Raw genomic sequence first — 21,765 nt, forward strand, 5'->3', positions numbered from 1 at the left:
ACAGATTGATGGGTGCAGCAAACAACCATGGCACGTGTCTACCTATGTAACAAACCTGCACGTTCTGCACATGTATCCCAGAACTTGAAGTATAATAAAAAAAATCTGTAGTATATCTAAAGTCTTTCATTTTAATTTTAGTTCATTTCATTTAACAATTTGCCAGCCAAAAGAGGGCTATGGCAGCAAGGAGATGGTTAGGGGATTGTACAAATTATTTCAACCATCCTTTTCTCTATGTTCTCTGAAATGGCTATTAATAGTATTGGATTTCCTGGATTAATTATCATGATTGATTTGTATTTCAAAGTGTGAATTTTATTGTATTTCCTTAATTTTGTAATTTAGCTACTCCTGATATTTTCTTTTAGCAATCAAAGTTTTAATTCCAAATAACCCATACTTACACACAAATTTTCCTTTCTCTTTTTAAATAACAGTCTATCATTCATTACTTAATCTGTTTGATCTGCAGATTTGAATTCTTATCCGCAATCTCAGATGCACAGCATGCGACAACCAAGCGATAGCGTCTAATCGAACATAGCCTAAGAGACTTCTTCCATTCTGCCTCATTCGTAAGCTGCTATTCATTGTCCTAACACTAATTCCCATCCATCATAAGAGAAACTGATTTCTCTTTGTTTCCTTTGGGAACCAAAGCCTCTGATACCCAGTTTTATCACTCACGAGTTTTACCTTAAACACCAGAATGTGATTCAGCCATTTTTATTTTACTACTTTATAACAAGGATGGCCTTTCCTTCGTTACCCAATAATATGTGCTTCATTTCCATTTGATACTTCATCAGAATGGTCTTTGCCATTCCTATTTCTAGCAAATTCTCTTCAGGCTTACATAAGTATTCCCTAAGAAGGTTGAGTCTTTCTCAATAGTCTTCTTTCTGAGTCTTCACCAGAGTGACACTTACCAGTACATTCAGGACAATAGAGGCTTTTTCTAGCATGCACTCCAAAATTTTTCCAGCCTGTACCCATTACCCACTTCCAAAGAACACAGTAGTTTTTGTAAATATTACTAAATAGTAATAGTATATACTTCCAAATTGATAATCAATTTACTGTAACTTCTTCAATGTATGAGAGTTTTCGTTTCTCAAAAGTTATCAGATAATAATTTGCCAATCTAATATATTAAATCATATCTAATTTTTGCTTGATGTGTGCTTCTTTCATTACTCTTAGGTTTGATTGTATTTTGTACTCTTTTTTAATACTCTGAATATGTCAAAATATCCTTTCAGTTTTCTGCAGGTCCTGCTCATTCTCATCTATAAGATCTTAACACAAATAACATTGCTCCAGAGAAGTTAGTTTGGATTATCTTATATGTGGTTTCTAATTACTTTTTTTCTCATCTCTTTGAAAATGTCTTTTATGACACTGATCACAACTTGTACTGTCTTGCCTAATTATTTGTTAATTGTTTACATCCTCTGTTCCACAACCCACAAATCAATGTACTCCATGTTGACATGTATTATAACTCTTTTGTATACCATAACCCAACGTCAAAAAGAACTTCACACGTAGTATTATTACATAAGTTCTTGTGCCATAAATTAATTAATCATAAAACAATTATGTGCCAACTGTAGAAAATTTCAACTAGAGTATAATTTCCAGGAAAGGAAAGATTTTTTCCTATTAATTAATGAACTAAAAAAGTGCCTGGTATTTAATATATATTTAATATTTATTTATGAAATTGAATTATTTTGATTCCTCAGAAGTTGCTTAAGGTTATCTGCTATTTTTAATCCAAATAATATATAGTTAAAATTGCTAAAAATCACATAAATAGAAAAAGTATTATTTCCAAATTAAATAAGTATTGGGTGTTACATCACACACACACACACACGCACACACATACACACACACAAACTTTATCTCTGCAACTTATATTTTGAGGGCTAATTTAAATCATGGTGAAGATTTTCCTTTAAACAAAAAAATTAGAGAAAAAAAGATAAAGTCGATATTAACATATTAAATCAGTGTTGGTGGACAATTGAACTAGATCATGAAGGATCATCTTTAGAGCCTTTCTAAACATAAAATAACTTCGTTATTTTGGCGAGTACATGAAACAGCTCACAAATGAGCTGACACTTTGCAGGAAGCAATTATTGCCTAAGGTAGGAAGTTTAAATGTTTGCTTTTCTTTTATGCATCATGAAGGGGGAAAGGTCTTCCTATAAGTAAAAAAGATAATGACGTTGACACAAAGATTATAAAGAGCCATATTGCTTTGAAAAACTCTCTGAAATTCTAGTTAAAGATCAAAACACTCTTTTACAAAGCACATCTGAACAATGTGTGATTGGAAGATGGCAAGAGTTGTACTACCAAATCTTTGCTGGTAGTACAGCTTTTCCACATATTAAATCATCCCTCCTTCCTTTGTTTTTCTTTTTTGAATGGTTGTATCAGAACAAAGAAAGCTGATTATATGTCTTCCTGTAGGGAAAAGAGATCAAACTACTCAATGTGATGGTTTATGTATATAAATATACTTGTGTATATAAATACCAGTTTCTTCTTATTGTTTAGCTGGATCTATGTGTGTCACACTTTTACACTTTTGCATAAACCAGCAAGTTTGCTACAGCTAACAAAGCCAAAAGCATTGCTACAGATGTTCTTTTTGTTAATTGGAAAATAAACTTAATGAAAAAAATTAAGTTATTCTACTCAGCTTATCTATGCTGGGCAGCTGGTTTAACTCAGTCCTTCATCATGCATCTCAAATGCTCCATCCAGGACAGCAGAACAGCCTAGGCACGTCCTCAAGATAATGCGAGGGACACACACTTGCAAATAGAAACCTACCCATAAATCACCTCCAAAAGCCTAGGCTTAGAACGGGTATATTATTTACTTCTACTTCAGTCCTTGACCAAGCGCACATAGAGCTAAGGGGTAAAGCTGGTCACTCTGCACATGGTGAAAAGACATTGTCCAAAAATGTGGACATAGACAATAAAAAGAAGGAAGGGATTGGATCTATGGGTGCATTGACTGGTGCTTTTGTAACTCCTTCTAGCAATGTTAACTTATTTTAAAATACAGGTTAGGAAAGAGAAAACATTTCTGAGAACTTTGGTCTTTAAACTGTCAAATGTATGGGTCTAGATACCTACATTAGGGCAATAACTACAATGGAAGTCTAATAGTTTATGGTAGAGACATTAGTTTTTCCCTTTTAATTGCTGTAAGCCTTTCTGGTTATAATTCTTATTTTTAGAGTCATATGATTATGCTATTATAGGCTACTAAGGGCTTGATAAGAATATACTGATTTAAACATTATCACTAGTGCAAAGGAGTATCAGATTAAACATTAAATCCTTAAGTAATTAACTTAATAAGTTGCTTTAAAGAAAATACCATGACAATCTTCACTTAACTGGAGTTAAATCATTTTATCTAATTTTGTAATTTTATTTATTGATAGAAAAATATATAGCATGAGACTCTGTAATGTGCACAGTTTTCTACATCTTCACTTTTTGCAGTTATCCCTAACTGGTTTAATATATCTTAGTAAACTAAAATTCTATTTAACATATACTGTAGAATTAAGATCACCAATTCAAAGAGCATGATATATGCTAACTCCTATATAATGTAGTCATCAATATTGACAGCCTGCAACCTGTTTTCGAAGTTAAAGAAACAAGATTTTGACAATATGTTATCTAAACTGTTTGTATAAAACAAAATATTTTTGCCAAACTAAGTGTTTTTGAATTGAAATTCTAAATAATGCTGTTAGGTTAAGAGACTTAGTCCCAAAAGCTGCATACATTGTTTCTGAAATCATACAGGAAAAGAGAGCCATATAAACACACAAAAAAATGTGAAAAGTGCATTACTCCAGAAACGTATACACTATAGTACTCATCTGTAGAAAGACTCTTGAGTTCTAACATTGCCTCATATATTTTTACTATCTTTTTCAACACAGTGAAGGGTGGTTACTCATGCTTTTGGCAAATGCAGAAATTGAGGCTGGGAACTAAATAAATGAGATCAGGTATCAGTGTAATAAGCATTATTATATACATATGAATTCAGTTCTCTTTTAGCTTATATAAAAGGTACTTCATGTGTGAATTAGGTTTGGTAAATATAATGAGTCCGTCAATTAGTAACTGGAGCCAGAAAATTTTAAGTGCCCTTTCTTTGAAAATTCATATGGGATACTGAACAAAAAGTGGGACAGAAAAGTAAGAGTCTAGTAAAAATATTTGCAACCGTGGATAAGCAAGTTTAAATTTAAAACTGCTGAAAATCTTCACAATACCACCACCAGGTAGGCATGTTTATAACTACGTACAGAAAAATACACTCAGCAACACAATTATAATTTTAATTCGTATTTTAAAATCAGGATACAATCTCCAACAAAATAAAATACATAGAAGAAAATATTAAATTTTTGTATCATGTAAAGATATGAAAATTTGTTGTAAAGTCCAAAAAGCTAAACACGGTCTCTGCTTATTACTCTGGGATCGTTGCTTACTATCCCCATTCCTCATTCCCTGGTGTTTTGTTTTGTTTTGTTTTGAGACAGCGCCTCGCTCTTTTGCCAGGCTGGGGTGCAGTGGTACAATCTCGGGACACTGCAACCTCTGCCCCTTGTGTTCAAGCGATTCTCCTGCCTCAGCCTCCCAAGTAGCTGGGATTACAGGTGCCCGCCACCACGCCCAGCTAATTTTTGTATTTTTTTTCAGTAGAGATGGGGTTTCCCCATGTTGTCCAGGCTGGTCTTGAACTCCTGCCCTCAGGTGATCCAATCTCCTTGGCCTCCCAAAGTGTAGGATTACAGTTGTGAGCCACTGTGGCCGGCCTCCCTGGTCTTTAAAATACTCACAGCGTATACACAAACACAAAACAAACAACAACCAGGTCACATTAAATATACCTCAGTTGCTGCACTCTGCCATGCTATCTCTTGCCATGATTTCACCCACGTTGATCCCTCTACCAAGATAACTTTTTCTTCTTGCCTTCATCTCTTTTACCTTTTTGGATGTCTCTTCATTTTTAACTATTTTATTACTATTATTATTATTATTATTATTATTATTATTATTATTTTGAGACGGAGCCTCGCTCTGTCGCCCAGGCTAGAGTGCAGTGGCGCGATCTCGGCTCACTGCAAGCTCCGCCTCCCAGGTTCATGCCATTCTCCTGCCTCAGCCTCCCGAGTAGCTGGGACTACAGGCGCCTCCCACCATACCCAGCTAATTTTTTGTATTTTTAGTAGAGACGGGGTTTCACCGTGTTAGCCAGGGTGGTCTCGATCTCCTGACCTTGTGGTCCGACCGCCTTGGTCTCCCAAGGTGCTGGGATTACAGGCGTGAGCCACCACGCCTGGCCTTATTTTTTAAAGGAAATCATATCATGCCTGTAATCCCAGCACTTTGGGAGGCCGAGGTGGGCATATCACGAGGTCAGGAGATCAAGACCACCCTGGCTAACACGGTGAAACCCCGTCTCTACTAAAAATACAAAAAATTAGCTGGGCTTGGTGGCAGGCGCCTGTAGTCCCAGCCACTCGGGAGGCTGAGGCAGGAGAATGACGTGAACCCGGGAAGCAGAGCTTGCAGTGAGCTGAGATCGGGCCACTGCACTCCAGTCTGGGCGACAGAGCGAGACTGTGCCTCAAAAAAAAAAAAAAAAAAAAGGAAATCATAACAATTAGCATTATTTTTTGTGATAAAATTAAATGAGTTAATGCTTGCAAAACACATAGGCTAGTTACAGAAACATACAAAGGGTAATATATATTATTTTAAATATTACTACTCACCCTACAGATATCTGCCTAAGAATCATTTCCATCTGCAAGTCTCCTCTGGCCCTTCTAATAGTATGCTTACATCCCAAATGTGCAACATCTATGTGCCCTGACATATTTCATGTTGTGTTACAATTGTGAGTTTACTTATCTGTATACTCCCTTCACTCGTCTGTAACATCACTGAGAAATGGTTCTCTTTTTATCTCATATAATAACTATCAAAAAGAGAAAAATAAAGATGATATGCAAAAAACAACATGCATTGTGGCATGCCAGAAGATGATACGGGCTGTAGACTAATCCCTATCTAAATTGTTTGAGGGCCGCCAATTTAGTTTTTGAAAGATGAAGTGAAAAACATTTATGGTGATTAAAAAGAAAGGCCAAAATGCTATCAAAAAAACTGGGTGAAAAGCACCCGAAATTATAAAGATTGAGTATACATATATATACATTTGGAGAAGAAAAAAAAAATTAAAAATTCAGTTACAGTGGCATATTCACAAACTGTGTTAATCAGGGTTATACAGAGAAACATAACAAATAGAATATTAGGTATGGATTAGATAGAAAGAGAGAGAGAGGGAGACGGAGCGGGAGAGGGAGGGAGAGGGAGGGAGGGGGAGAGGGAGAGAGAGAGAGAGAGAGAGAGAGATTTATTTTAAGGAATTGCCTTATGTAATTTTGGAGTCTGGCAAGTCACAAATCTGCCAGGTCGGCCAGAAGTTGGGAGACCCAGGGAAGAAGTCATGTTGTAGCTCCAGTCCAAAAGTAATCTGCTGGCCCAATACCTTGTCCTCCAGAAGACATCTGTCTTTTTTCTCTTAGAGTCTTCAAGTAATTATTAGAGATGCATTCCCACATGATGGAAGGTAATCTGCTGTATTCAAAGTCTACTGATTTAAATGTTACCCTTTAGAAATAACTACACAGCAACATCTAGACTTGCATTTGACCAAATATCTGGGTACTAGGACCTACCTAAGTTGACACATAAATTTAACCATCACAACACTGGAAAAGTGAGGTTTGAATTAATTTTTTCTCTCTAGGTTTTAGCCCACTGGCCAGTTATTTAGTCTCCTTCGTTTCAAAACAAAAGTCATAATGAGACCAGGTTTGGAAAATGAGGTGCCTGATGGAATCTGCCTGCCCTAGGCCTTACTTTTGAAGAATTAATGGCTACTTTTTATTCATAGTAGTATTCCTGTTATTAATTAGAGTAATTCTGTGCTGTATTTTGCTGTTATAAGCACAGACTTTCAAGTGATGTAATCAACAACTTCCACAGCCTTATATTCCAAAGACCTGAATCTAAATTATTGAATATCATTAGTAAAGCAATTCTAATCAAATATTCACAAACTCTTGTGACAGCCTTCAAATATCTACAGAAAAGCAAAGAAAAATTTATCATTGTAAGTATTACAAGGTCATTATTAATTAAAAAGAAAGGTGTTTATAAAACAGACTAGTGCATGGCAGATGGCACATTCACAATAAATGATATTGTTATTTTGATTACCACTTCATCTTTCTGTTAGAAGAGCAAGCAAGTAGGAGAATAAGAATAAAAATCACATCAATGTGGACTAAGGCCTATCTTAATCCATGCATAAACTTATGCATTACATAATATACTTTTACACCTTCCAAATGTTTGCATGAAAACATACTAAAATATAATGTCAAACTGTTAAAAAATAAATGAACAAGAAAGTTACATTACCACAATTATCTTAATATCTTGTATAGAGAAAGAAATTAACTTCAGAGTATTCTACCAAACTCAATGTGTATCTTGCAATTACATATTTCTTGTTATAAAAGAGATTGATTCCTAATAATATAGCCACATATGAGTCTAGCTTGTCAGTGCAATATGCCATCAAAAGGGGAAAATAACTACTTAGGGAGAAGTTAGGTAAAGAGCTCTTTAGGCTGACCTTTTGCTGATAAATTGATGATGTTCTCATTAGCAGCAACCCTGCTATTTGCCCTCAATAAAAGATAACATCCTGCTGTTAACGTAATTTCCATTTTTGTGATTTAATGACACAATTATATTGAAGATACTTTTTCCAAATGGATTAGGGTTTAAAAGAAGGTAAAAATGTTTTAAACATTTGTATTCTGTTTTCCCCAAACCAAATAATGTTTTTCACATTGTGTGATTATATACGATAAATACATCAGAAAGGTGGGTGACACTCAAGTCATTTTTAAATATACTTGCTACTAAAAATAATGGTTATTAAACCTTGTATTATAAATATTTTAATATTTTTGTCTTCTGGTACAGCTGGCATTATTGTCCATAGGATAGTCAATTTATTTTGTACCGTGAAAAATATTACATCTTTTTCTCTGAAATTCAGATAACTCTTTTCATAATTTAACTGAATCCTGATATGGCAAAAGCCTGGTCATTAGATATATTTTCAGAAGGGAAGCAGCATATCATTATGGGGAGAGCAGAGACTTTGAAATCTGGCAGATATATGTTTAAATTTTGGCTTTAACCTTTATTAGATAAGTGATTTTGAACAAATTATAGTCCCTAGAAAAATATTAGTTTTTTTCATCTGATTACGTAGTGAATGGAAAATTAGATAATGGATATAAATCACATGGTTTATAACTGATGCCAAAGCTCAGGCCTTTTAACTTGGGGCATCTAATGATTTAATGAAAGAGGACACCAAGGAAGGAGTTTCTTTCATTGTTGAGTCTCTTGCCTTGATTCATGGGACAATTAAATAATCCATAAATTGTGATATATATATATGTGTATATATATATGTTTCTGTGGGAATCATTTTTTCTTTATTTTATTATGATTCAAATGTTTGTCCATAAAATACTATTAGTATATTTCTTAATTGTACTGGTCAGTTTGTTTTTGAGAAAAGGACATAAAAAAGAAAAGCTCAATAGAAATCATGTAAATATTGAACACTTGTAGAGCATTGTGGCTCCTATAATCAATTCCAAAGTAAAGACAAGGCTTTTATCAGACTGTCCTCCCACCACTGCCCCCCCGACACACACACGCACACTTTCCCATAGACATGAGTACCTGGACAAGAAAAGACAGACAGTGGCACCTTAGTTGGGCAACTGCTGTACTCAGAGGAAAAACAGGGATCCGCTAAAAGGCAAAAGCCAGCAGAGATTGCTGTCCCCTGTAGGGTGCAAAAAAGATATTGTTGGCTGGTGAAGTACTAGAATTTCTAGTAGAAACAGACACTGTTATGACCAAGGCAGAAACATCTTAGAATTTCCCAGAAATATTAGGGGTCAGATTTTGCAGATATTTAGATGTCTATTGTAAACAATCAGAGACAGAAAGCGGCCAAAATCTGAAAATATTTGTTTTCAAAGTTATGTAATAACATAGCTTTCTATAACTGTATGGCATGTTACCATTGTGCTGTTATAAACAATAGAGATTTGCCCTTTAAAAAACAATATTCTATGTATGTATATATATATGTATGTGTGTCTATATATAGGATATAGAAACATTTATATGTAAGGTAGCAAATATAATATATATTAAATTGACCGTGAAATATGTGCATCTGTAGATTCAAGTAGATCTGTATATTTAAGTACACCATGAAATATGTGAATCTGAAGAAAAAATGTTTAGAAGCAGCACATCTCTAAACAATGGCAAAAGTCTGAATTCTGCAATTCATTTTTCTATAAACCAATATATAAATATTTCAACATTCTGCACATTAATATTGTAATATGCTAAAACTGTTACATTTTAGTATGCCAAAGTGATCTCTTGAAAGCATTTTTTTTTTTTTTTTTTGAGATCGAGTCTCACTCTGTCACCCAGGCTGGAGTGCAGTGGTGCAATCTCAGCTCACTGCAACCTCCGCCTCCCAGGTTCTCGCCATTCTCCTGCATCAGCCTCTGAAGTAGCTGGGACTACAGGTGCCCGCCACCAAGCCCAGCTAATTTTTTGTTTTCATATTTTTAGAAGAGACGGGGTTTCACTGTGTTAGCCAGGATGGTATCGATCTCCTGACCTCGTGATCTACCTGCCTCGGCCTCCCAAAGTGCTGGGATTACAGGCGTGAGCCACCGTGCCCGGCCACAGGCATATTGTTAATACCTCATGTAAATATAAATAATTTAACTCATCATTTTACTACATAAAATTTATTGTTTAAAGTTATTGAATTATTAATACACTGCATGTATTATATAAGGTAGATATTTTCATCAACTACATTGGAAACTTTAACTGTAATATTTTCTGAACTTTTATAAAACATGAGGGTTTGTTTTTACATTATTTATACTGTGAATTCAACATTAGCAGATTGTTGAGAATACAATTAAAAACTCATAGTATTATTGAACTCATTGTATATATTTAAATAAGAATAAAATATTTTTTACTCCAAAAATGTTTACTCTTCCATGGTTGTTTAGTTCAAGATGGACCAGTGATCACTCACTTCAATTTTGAACAATCCTTTTAACTTTCTATAGCAAAGGCTGTTAAATGAAATAATATCTATAATTACGATTTTCCTATATTTTTTAAATTTAGAACTTTATATTTCATTTAATCAACCATCTTTAATCTTTCATAATTTTTTTTTTTTTCGGAGACAGGAGTTTTATTATTCAAATCAGTTTTGCCCAAGCATTCCAGGATCAGAGATTTTAAGGATAATTTGGCGGGTGGAGGAAAGCCAGTGAGTCAAGAGTGCTGATTGGTTGGCAGGAGATGAAACCATAGGGAACTGAAGCTGTCCTCTTGCACTGAGTCAGTCAGTTCCAGGGTGAGCCACAAGATCACATGAGCCAGCTTATCAATCTTTTTTTTTTTTTTTAAGATGTGTGGTATTATTTCTTTTTTTTTATTTTTATTTTTTATTATACTTTATGTTTTAGGGTACATGCGCACATTGTGCAGGTTAGTTACATATGTATACATGTGCCATGCTGGTGCGCTGCACCCACTAACTCATCATCTAGCATTAGGTGTATCTCCCAATGCTATCCCTCCCCCATCCCCCCACCCCACCACAGTCCCCAGAGTGTGATATTCCCCTTCCTGTGTCCATGTGATCTCATTGTTCAATTCCCACCTATGAGTGAGAATATGCAGTGTTTGGTTTTTTGTTCTTGCGATACTTTACTGAGAATGATGATTTCCAATTTCATCCATGTCCCTACAAAGGACATGAACTCATCATTTTTTATGGCTGCATAGTATTCCATGGTGTATATGTGCCACATTTTCTTAATCCAGTCTATCATTGTTGGACATTTGGGTTGGTTCCAAGTCTTTGCTATTGTGAATAGTGCCACAATAAACATACATGTGCATGTGTCTTTATAGCAGCATGATTTATAATCCTTTGGGTATATACCCAGTAATGGGATGGCTGGGTCAAATGGTATTTCTAGTTCAAGATCCCTGAGGAATCACCACACTGACTTCCACACTGGTTGAACTAGTTTATAGTCCCACCAACAGTGTAAAAGTGTTCCTATTTCTCCACATCCTCTCCAGCACCTGTTGTTTCCTGACTTTTTAATGATTGCCATTCTAACTGGTGTGAGATGGTACCTCATTGTGGTTTTGATTTGCATTTCTCTGATGGCCAGTGATGATAAGCATTTTTTCATGTGTTTTTTGGCTGCATAAATGTCTTCTTTTGAGAAGTGTCTGTTCATGTCCTTCGCCCACTTTTTGATGGGGTTGTTTGTTTTTTTCTTGTAAATTTGTTTGAGTTCATTGTAGATTCTGGATATTAGCCCTTTGTCAGATGAGTAGGTTGCGCATTCTCTAGAGAAGAACGATCACCAATAGCAAATGGCAGTTGGAATAACGCAACACCAAACGCTGTTTTCACGCTCATGAGAGAACACAAATATCTCCTCCTCGTGGCATAATTTTCAAAAACCACAATTAAGTGGGCCTCCAGAAGACAATTAACAGTATCAGTTCCCAAGTTCTGATTTACACTGATTCATTACTGACAATATGCCTTTCTCTCATCTTACATCTTTCAAACTTTATACATAAAACTGGGTGTTGGCTTCCTGGATTTAACCTGGGCTCAATGTCATCACCATTCATAACCTTTCTCTTATTCTACCACTTTCAGATAATTTAGGTTTACTGAAGTCAGTAGCGGGTCTCCATCTGTTAGTCCTTCCTTCATGAATAGCGATCCGGCAGCCATCTAAAACAACTAGCAAGGTAAATGGAAACTTTGCTCAAATGCATTTAAACAATTAAGACAAGAAAAATGAGAGAAATCCTCCATAATACATTTAGAAAGAGCACAATGCCGTTTTCAAAGTTTAGATGTCACTCATGTCTCTAAATTATTATCATGTGTAATTATTGAAATAATGAAAGATTTTACAAGTTTGCACTTAAGGGTCCCATGAAGCACATAAACTCCACTGTGTTAATTCCATACTATAGACATCAAAGATGGAGTAATTCAAACTGAGTTTACAGAAATAACATAAATTTTAATCCAGTCACAGAATAAAGATATCATTATGAAACATTTCATGAGGCTATCATTTCAAAAAGCCAAACTGGGCCACATGAATAAATAAATTCATAAATAAATACAACAAAAAATGGATATGAGATATTAATCTTCCACAGATCTATAAATATACATCTGTCTATGAATTCATATTAATATTTATTTTGCCATAGGTCAAGAAAGCTTGAGAATGCAAGGGTGAGATGAAGGCAGAAAATATGGTTAAGGAAGTGAGAAAAGTAAGATCTGACAGCTTAAGATTAGTAAATTCTCATATGGGATATTAGAAGCAAAGAACAACCCTAAAAGTTTGCAGGATAATTTATTGTAATAGAATAATATGTTCTAAATTGTTTTACAAATTGTATCTTTATATAAAATGTAAATTTTATGTTTTTGTATTTTTTTATGTTTTAAAGCTTTACAATAGTATTACACAATAAAATGACAATAGAAATTATTCCATTGTATTAGAAAGTTAAAGTGAAAGCTTATTAAACCTTAAACTTCATAGAAAAGATAGTAAAATATTCTAATCGGTTGCATTTTGAAGGATAGCTCATTTTAAAAAATATATATGAAATAATATAAATTAATTAGATTTAAGAAACATAGATCATTGTTTTTTTCCAAAATTGTTTTACTAACTGATGTCAAAAAAGTGTCTTAAAATTAGTGCTCCTATCTCCCGTTTACTATTCTTCCCATATCAAACCCTTACTTATTTTAGATATCAATTACCAGTTTAAAAGTAAACATGTAATAGTTGTAACTCTCCATAATTATGTTTTCTTCCATTAACTTTTAAATTTATCTTCCATTGTTTTTCTTCTGTTATTCTGGGTCTAGTGCCTTACCATACAAAAGATACTGATTATAACTTAGTTGATATTTGAGGTTTGAAAGAGTGGTTGTGTTTTGAGTCCTTCAAATGTGTTTGAAAATTAAATCAACAACAACAATAAACATGTTTCTTTGATTGTAAGAGTACTTTTTGTTTGAGTAGGGAAAAAAAGCTTAGTAATATATCAAGTTAAATAATCTAAAACAATTATTACATTTAACACATGGAAGAGAAATATTGTTTTAAAAATATAGCATATACGGTTTGCCAATTGTACTCAAAGCTCTTTTGTGGGTGACAGGCAGAGTCAACACCTTATAAAATGTAATTCACATTTGTGGACAATATTGACACTGACCAATAACCAATTTCCTCTCCTTGAGCATGACAGACACGATAGTTTGTGCTCATTTCCAGTTAGGCACAGGTATAGGACTAGTTCTGGGCAATGAAATGTGAGTAGAAGTAATGTTTGTTTTTTACAGTTGAGATAGTGACATTCTCTGCTCATGTGACATTCCCTGTTCACTCTCTCTTTCTCTCTCAGTCCAGCAATGATTGTAAAAGTTCTGAGGTTGTTACTGCATCAAAATTTAGTCTATATTGACTGTAATACTGTTAAACATAATTTCAAACATACATCATGATGATTCTTTACAACCCTGTATAGGAAGGCCAAGGGTAGTAGTCAAAGCCTGGCAGGAATCTTGTTTACCTAAAGATAAAAGCAGATGGTATAAGTGACATCTGCCAACAGACATAGGTGGAGGATACAGAAAAATTCACATAGTCCATCAGTTATATACATGATTTGAGTTACCCTCAGCACCTGTCTTTTCAATAAGAATCAGTTTAGCTAATACATGATCTCAAGGAGAAGAATGCCAGAGTCAAAGAATCAGGAGAGCAAAACAATAGTTTTCTAAATGGCCTGAATCATTTGTAAATTATCTACAATATTCAAATCCTGTAAGACTAGAAGTTATATCATATTCCACTTACTCTGTGAATGAAAGTCCAAGGTTTAGAGGAGAGGAGAGAAGAACTAAGACCACTGTATGTTAAAACTCAACCATTAATATTTCTTTTCATTTAATTAACTCACTTTCTGGGAGAACTTGATGTTTGGTTTGACTACTCAGTTTTTATTTCATGAGCACTACATCCTCTTATTTTTTAGGGCCTTCCTTTTATGTATCATAAGTTTCTGCAGTTTACCATCTGAACACTCTATAATTTTAACTTCCAGACGATTATTCTCCTCACATTATGCTATGCAAAATTGATCCTTATCTGACATTCTTTCAACCTATACACACACACACACACACACACACACACGATTACATTACCCCAAGTCTCTGGTTTTTGCTCTGGTTCTATTGAAAGGAACTGACTCCAGCACAGCGAACTGGACATGCAAGTAAGAAACCCTGTATTGACCCATGACGGAATATATAGAGACTCTAGGCAAGAGCAGAAAATCAGCAATAACATCTAATGAGCCAAACAGCCAATCTTGGCATCAAGTGGGTATAAAACTTGACTGCAGGGCTTCCCTTGCAGATCCAATGTAAGTAAATAATGATAAAAGTCTTACTTATACTATGCAAATTAAAATAGTATCTAACTTTTTAAGGAAAGACACTTGGAAATATATTTCTATATAATCATAAAAAGTCAAACTCACACATAAGCCTTCAATTAGCTGATACATTCTTTAAATGATTTTCCAATGCACTAACACCTAGAAGGGAAAAATAAAACTTATTATAATAAAAAAGGATGCACATCGTTGAGAAATCAATAGGTAATTTTGTCCATTGATCCCTTCTTTTTTCCTTGCCCCAAGGTGCATGAAAAGAAATAGCTTGACAGTGGTTTCCGATTTTTAGATATAATTGCAAATCCTTTAATTCTGGCTTAGGCATAGGCATTTGTCATATTATAGCTAATGTATATTAATATATATTTTCCTAAATTTACAAAGTAATAATGAGAAAACAAATAAAATACAAAATTTAGGATTTCTTTTACTTTGTCGATTTTGATTTAACAGAATCTCATTCTAAAGATTATGAAGACTGACCATATCGGTAATAAATGAACACTGATGTATTTTAATTTAAAAGACATTTGGAGGTTCTTACAAATTTTTTTCACTTACATTTAATCTTCTAATTTTTTTCACTTACATTTAATCTTCTAAATTATCTTTAATTTTTATGTTGTGGCTCTTTCCTTTTCAAGCTTCAATTCTTTCTCTTACCACCTTTCTTATTCTTCCATGCCTGGGTCATAGAACTAAATTTACCTGTTCCACAAATGTCATTATCAGTATGTATTTTATTTTAAGCAAGTCCATCTCCTCAGAGGATTCCCTTGTATCCTGCTAAGCAGGTAAATGTTTGGCTCCCCGAGTTCTGAAAATCACAGGAGTAGGAGACTGGAGGTGTTACCGTCCAGAATGCAGTCCTTAATCTGAAGCCCTGGATTTCACAATGCACTTTCCATCTGCACTCACAGAAGTCTTATGCCACTAAACTGAATCAGGCTCTTTGATCGTTTATCTTCCCCTGTGGGCTGCAAGTCTCTAATTATTTGTTTTTTTTTTTTTTTTTTTTTTTTTTTTTGAGATGGAGTCTCGCTCTGTCGCCCAGGCTGGAGCGCAGTGGCGCGATCTCGGCTCACTGCAAGCTCTGCCTCCCGGGTTCACGCCATTCTCCTGCCTCAGCCTCCCGAGTAGCTGGGACTACAGGCGCCCGCCACCATGCCCGGATAATTTTTATGTATTTTTAGTAGAGACGGGGTTTCACCGTGTTAGCCAGGATGGTCTGGATCTCCTGACCTCGTGATCCGCCCGCCTCGGCCTCCAAAAGTGCTGGGATTACAGGCGTGAGCCACCACGCCCGGCCGGTTCTTACAAATTTTAAATATCCAAGAAACGTAATTTTTATTCTTGTAAGCCATCGCGTGTAATATGACCAGTGTTTAAAATACCTTATGGTATCTGCAATGACACTTATGAGGCATAAATTTATATAAATGCTTATGTCATGGGTTGAAAACGCAGTGGTGGGGTCTTAGGATAGAAAATAATACATGCCCTTCATACAAATAAGCTAAGAACAAGTACAGCAGCATGCTGCCTTGAGGAGGGCACTGTGGAGAATAACGCAAGAGGAAGGGGCAGAGAGAGCAGACAGTCTGAGCCCACTTCCCAATTTGGCCCAAGACAGGCAGGAAAGGGAGACAGTACAAAGTTTATTTTTTAATATATATCAACTCATATTTGAAGTTCCAGGGTACATGTACAGGATGTGCAGGTTTGTTATGTAGGTAAACGTGGTTTGCTATGGTGGTTTGCTACACAGAACAACCCATCACCCAGGTATTAAGCACAGTCATTAGGGAAAACTCTCAAGGATTCAAAGGAGTATAAAAATCAATTTTAAAATAAAATATTATGTGGAATTGTTATTTAATACTTATTGAAAAAGTTAATTCTATTAGAAAAAGCAGACATTAATTCTTTTTTTTAGATTCAAAGTAAATGGAAATAATATAATGGATAAAATACATAGAGTTAATGGCTTTTAATCCTTATTATTAACTCAGGCTACTGGAGCCACATAATAACCTTAATGTCTAATGAATATATTATTTCAGAATAAAGTTCTTTTCGGAGAGTGGTATTTAACTGTTGAATGCCCTTTATCTCAAGAGAATTGATTTGCATTTAAATGAGCAGTCCTTCAAGTAATTATCCATGGAGATTTTTTTTAATATAAAAAGTGTTGAGTACCTGTTTTAGAACATATAGAAATTACGGTGTACTTTGGTTAACACCGATAATGTTGGACAATTAAATTAATACTTTAAAAATTATATTCTCTACCACTTAATAAACTAAATTAATTAAAGATTCTTAAGGAAATAATACATTATCCACTTCAAATTAAGGAACAGCAATTTTTTACTGTTTTGAGCATCAGTATACATCTTGATAGGATAATTGGGTGGTGTGCCATTTAAAAATACAAACAAATCCTCAATTATCATCATTATTTACTTATATCAAAATTTTTACTCCAGGAGAAACATACCTCCGAGATATTGTGGGTTTGTTTTCAGACCATTGCAATAAAGTGAATATCACAATAAAGCAAGTCCTATGAATTCTTTTGGCTTCCCCATGCATATAAAAGTTATGTGTACACTGTACTGTAGTGTACTAAGTATGCAATAGTATTATGTCTAAAAAAAGTACATACCTTAATGACAAATACATTATTGCTAAAAATGTTAATGATCATCTAATATTTTGGTGAATCATAAACTTTTTGCTGGTGAATGGTCATGACTTCACGTTATTGGCTGCTGATTGATCAAGTTGGTGGTTGCTGAAGGTTGAGGTGACTGTGGCAATTTCTGTAAAATAAGATAACAACAAAATTTGCTGTATCAATTGACTCTTCATTTCATGAAAGATTTTTCTGTAGCATGCAATGCTGTGGATAGCACTTTATCCACAGTAGGACATCTTTCAAAATTAGAGTCAACCCTCTCAAATCTTACCATTGCTTTATAAACTAGGTTTATGCGATATCGTAAATCCTGTGTTGTTTCAACGATGTTCATAGCATCTTCACCAAGACTAGATTTCATCTCAAGAAACTACTTTATTTGTTTATTCAAAGAAGCAAATTCCCATCCATTCAAGTTTTACCATGAGATAGCAGCAATTCAGTCACATTTTCAAGCTCCACTTCTAATTCTAGTTCTTTTGCTATTTCCACCATATTTGCAGTTATCTCCTCCACTGAAGTCTTGAGCTCCTCAAAGGTACCATGAGGGCTGAATCAATTTCTTCCAAACTCCTGTTAATGTTGATATTTTGACCTCCTATGATTCATAAATGTTCTCAATGAGATCTAGAATGGTTAATCCTTTCTGACTTTGCCCAGATCCATCAGAAGAATCACTATCTTTGGCAACAATAGACTTAGAAAATGTATTTATGAAATCATAAGACTTGAACATCAAAATTCTCCTTGATCCATGAGCTTCAGAATGGATGTTGTGTTAGCAGGAATGAAAACAACATTAATCTCCCTAGACATCTTTATTAGAGCCACCAAGTGACCAGGTGCATTGTCAGTGAGCAGTAATATTTTAAAAGAAATATTTTTTCTAAGTAGAAGGCTCAACATTGGGCCTAAAATATTCAGTAAACCATGCTGTGAACAGGTTATGTTTTTATCCATGCTTTGTTATTTCATCTGTAGAGCACAAGCAAAGTAGATTTAGCGTAATTCTCAATAGCACTAGGATTTTTGAAACGGTACATGAGCATTGGCAACAAGTTAAAGCCACCAGCTGCATAAGCTTCTATTCAGAGAGTCAATCGGTCCTTTGAAGATCTGAAGCCAGGAAGTAACCTTTCTTTAGCTATAAAAGCCCTAGATGGCAAGTTTTTCGAATAAAAGGCTGTTTTGTCTATATTAAAAATCAGTTGTTGATTATAGCCACATTCATCAATGATCCTAGCCTGATTTTCTGGGTAACTTGCTAGTTTCTACATCAGCATTTGCTGCTTCACCTTGCACTTTTATGTTTTGCTTTCTTTCTCAAACCTCTGAACCAACCTCTGCTAGCTTCAAGCTCTTTTTTTTTTTTTTTTCTCAGCATCTTCCTCACCTCTCCTTTAGCCTTCATGGAATTAAAGCGAGTAAGAGCCTTGCTCTGAATTAGGCTTTGGCTAAGGGAAATATTCTAGCTGATTTGATCTTCTGTCCAGATAGCCAAAACTTCCTCCATATCAGCAATAAGGCTGTATTACTTTCTTATAATTTGTGCATTCACTGGAGTAGCACTTCTAATTTCTTTCAAGAACTTTTCCTTTGCATTCATAATATAGCTATTTGGTACAAGAGGCTTAGTTTGGAGCTTATTTCAGCTGTTGACATACCTTTTTCACTATACTTAATTATTTCTACCTTTCTATTTACAGTTAAAGACATGCAACTTTTCCTTTCACTTGAACACTTAGAGGCCATTGTACGTTTATTATTTGGCCTAATTCTAATACTGTTGTGTCTCAGAGAGTAGAGAGGCCTGAGGAGAGGAAGGCAGACAAGGGAAAGACAAGGGAAACACTGGTCAGTGGAGCAGTCAGAACACATAAAACATTTGTTTATTAAGTTTGACTACTAACATAGGCACAGTTTGTGTCACCCCAAAGCAATTAGTAACATCAAGGATTGCTAATCGCACATCACCATGACATATATAATCATAATATAAAGTTAAAAATTGTGAAAATTATCAAAATGTGACAAAGACAAAAAGAGGGCACTTGCTGTTGTAAAAATGGTGCTGATAGACTTGTTCAATGCAAGTCTATCAATTTGTAAAAAACCTTCAGTTTGTAAAAAATGCATTACATGCAAAGAGCAATGAAGTGAAGTTCAATAAAACAAGTTATACCTTATCGGGGAATCTGCCCCAATATTCGCATAGGCTCATTTCTATTTTCCTTAAGCGTCAGCCAGCTTGAGAAATAAAGGGACAGAGTACAAAAGAGAGAAATTTTAAAGCTGGGTGTCCAGGGGAGACATCACATGTCGGTAGGTTCTGTGATGCCCCACAAGCCTCAAAACCAGCAAGTTTTTATTAGGGATTTTCAAAAGGGGAGGGAATGTACGAATAGGTGTGGGTCACAGAGATCACGTGCTTCACAAGGTAATAGAATATCACAAGGCAAGTGGAGGCAGGGCGAGATCACAGGACCACAGGACCACAGGACCGAGGTGAAATTAAAATTGCAAACGAAGTTTCGGGCACCATTGTGATTGATAACATCTTATCAGGAGACAGGGTTTTGAGATCAACCGGTCTGACCAAAATTTATTAGGCGAGAATTTCCTCTTCCTAATAAGCCTGGGAGCTATGGGAGACTGGGGTCTATTTCACCCCTGCAGTCTCGACCATAAGAGACGGCACACCTAGGGGGACTGTTTATAAGCCTATACCTCCAGGCACATATTCTCTTTCCCAGGGATGTTCCTTGCTGAGAAAAAGAATTCAGAAATATTTCTCCCATTTGCTTTTGAAAGAAGAGAAATATGGCTCTGTTCCGCCCAGCTCACCAGCGGTCAGAGTTTAAGGTTATCTCTCTTATTCCCTGAACAATTGCTGTTATCCTGTTCTTTTTTCAAGGTGTCCAAATTTCATATTGCTCAAACACACAGGCTGTAAAATTTGTGCAGTTAATGCAATTATTACAGGGTCCTGAGGTGACATACATCCTCCTCAGCTATAAAATGACAGGATTAAGAGATTAAAGTAAAGACAGGCATAGGAAATTGCAAGGGTATTGATTGGGGAAGTGATAAGTGTCCATGAAATCTTTACAATTTATGTTTAGTGACTGCAGTAAAGACAGGCATAAGAAATTATAAAAGTATTAATTTGGGGAACTAATAAATGCCCATGAAATCTTCACAATCCATGTTCTTCTGCCATGGCTTCAGCCAGTCCCTCCGTTTGGGGTCCCTGACTTCCCACAACAATACCTCTATGTGTTACCCTTTAAAAACCATCCAGCACAAATATGTAAGATTGTAGAAAATGTATAAACTGAATATATGTATTATCTTATAAATACAAAAAATGCTTTGAAATTATTTCAAATTAATAAACTAATTTTGCATGTTAAGTGCTATAGAATGTTTATGATCATTTAAAACCCTATGAAAAACTGTACTTCTAATGCACTTCTAAGATTATCTTGCCATTATTTTTAATATAAAGAAACGACAGCCATACATTTACTTTGTTAAGCTACTAATATAATCCTTTACCCAATACTGAAAATCTTCTGGTTTCTATTCAATCTATTTACTTCTTTTCCAACTCATTTAGAAAGAGTAATGAATCACCTCTAATTTAAAAAGGGGAAAGAAGATTAAAAACAAATATGCTTACATGTATACTGTTCTCTTTCTAGTATGAGTGGGCTGTCTCTTCCAGTTCTCTTTATATAACATACTACATAAAATTAGGATTAACTTGCAGCTGATGTGAAATAGCTCTTTGGTTATGTCCAGACATTTGTGGAACTACAGCACTGAGCAACTGGCCAAGATAGCATTAAAAGGTAATAATATTGATTTATAATATACTGTTTAAAGTCCTGAAATCATGCTGGATATTCCTTGTGCAAACTTGTGTATATTATTTATTAACAATGTATAGAATAATTTTTCATCATCTGCATCTCATATGGGATATGTAACCAGTGGGATATAAAATATTTCATAACCAGTGGGATATAAAATATTTCATTATATCTATATTTGTATCTTTGTTTATCTGAGAATGAAATACCTTGAATATATTGGTGGTTTACGAGTCATAGACAAATTGTTTCTTTTGCAACTCTTTAATCTGAGCTTGGATATTTCAGAACTTTTTAATTGTGTCTATGTATTTTGTATCTCTTCCTTGGAAAACAAATCATAAGTTTTGAAAAC

General features: G+C 34.8%; 1 long non-coding RNA gene and 1 pseudogene across 7 annotated transcripts in view; both read right to left on the reverse strand.

The window, feature by feature from the left end:
• The window catches only part of LOC105377177 (uncharacterized), a 250,124-nt gene that overhangs the window by 96,088 nt on the left and 132,271 nt on the right, over positions 1–21,765 (reverse strand). For 6 of the 7 annotated variants that reach the window (XR_940994.3, XR_940993.3, XR_940991.4 and 3 more), the window contains exons 2-3: positions 17,503–17,659; positions 14,919–14,975 (exon numbers count right to left, since the gene is read on the reverse strand). This is a non-coding gene — a long non-coding RNA (uncharacterized LOC105377177). Of the gene's footprint in view, positions 1–12,340; positions 13,944–14,918; positions 14,976–17,502; positions 17,660–21,765 lie in introns of those variants that run through there. The other variant, XR_940990.3, reaches the window with a different exon arrangement.
• On the reverse strand, positions 11,649–11,761 carry LOC124906335 (uncharacterized; annotated as a pseudogene).

The sequence above is a fragment of the Homo sapiens genome, chromosome 3, assembly GCF_000001405.40.
Source record: "Homo sapiens chromosome 3, GRCh38.p14 Primary Assembly".
NCBI lineage: Eukaryota > Metazoa > Chordata > Mammalia > Primates > Hominidae > Homo > Homo sapiens.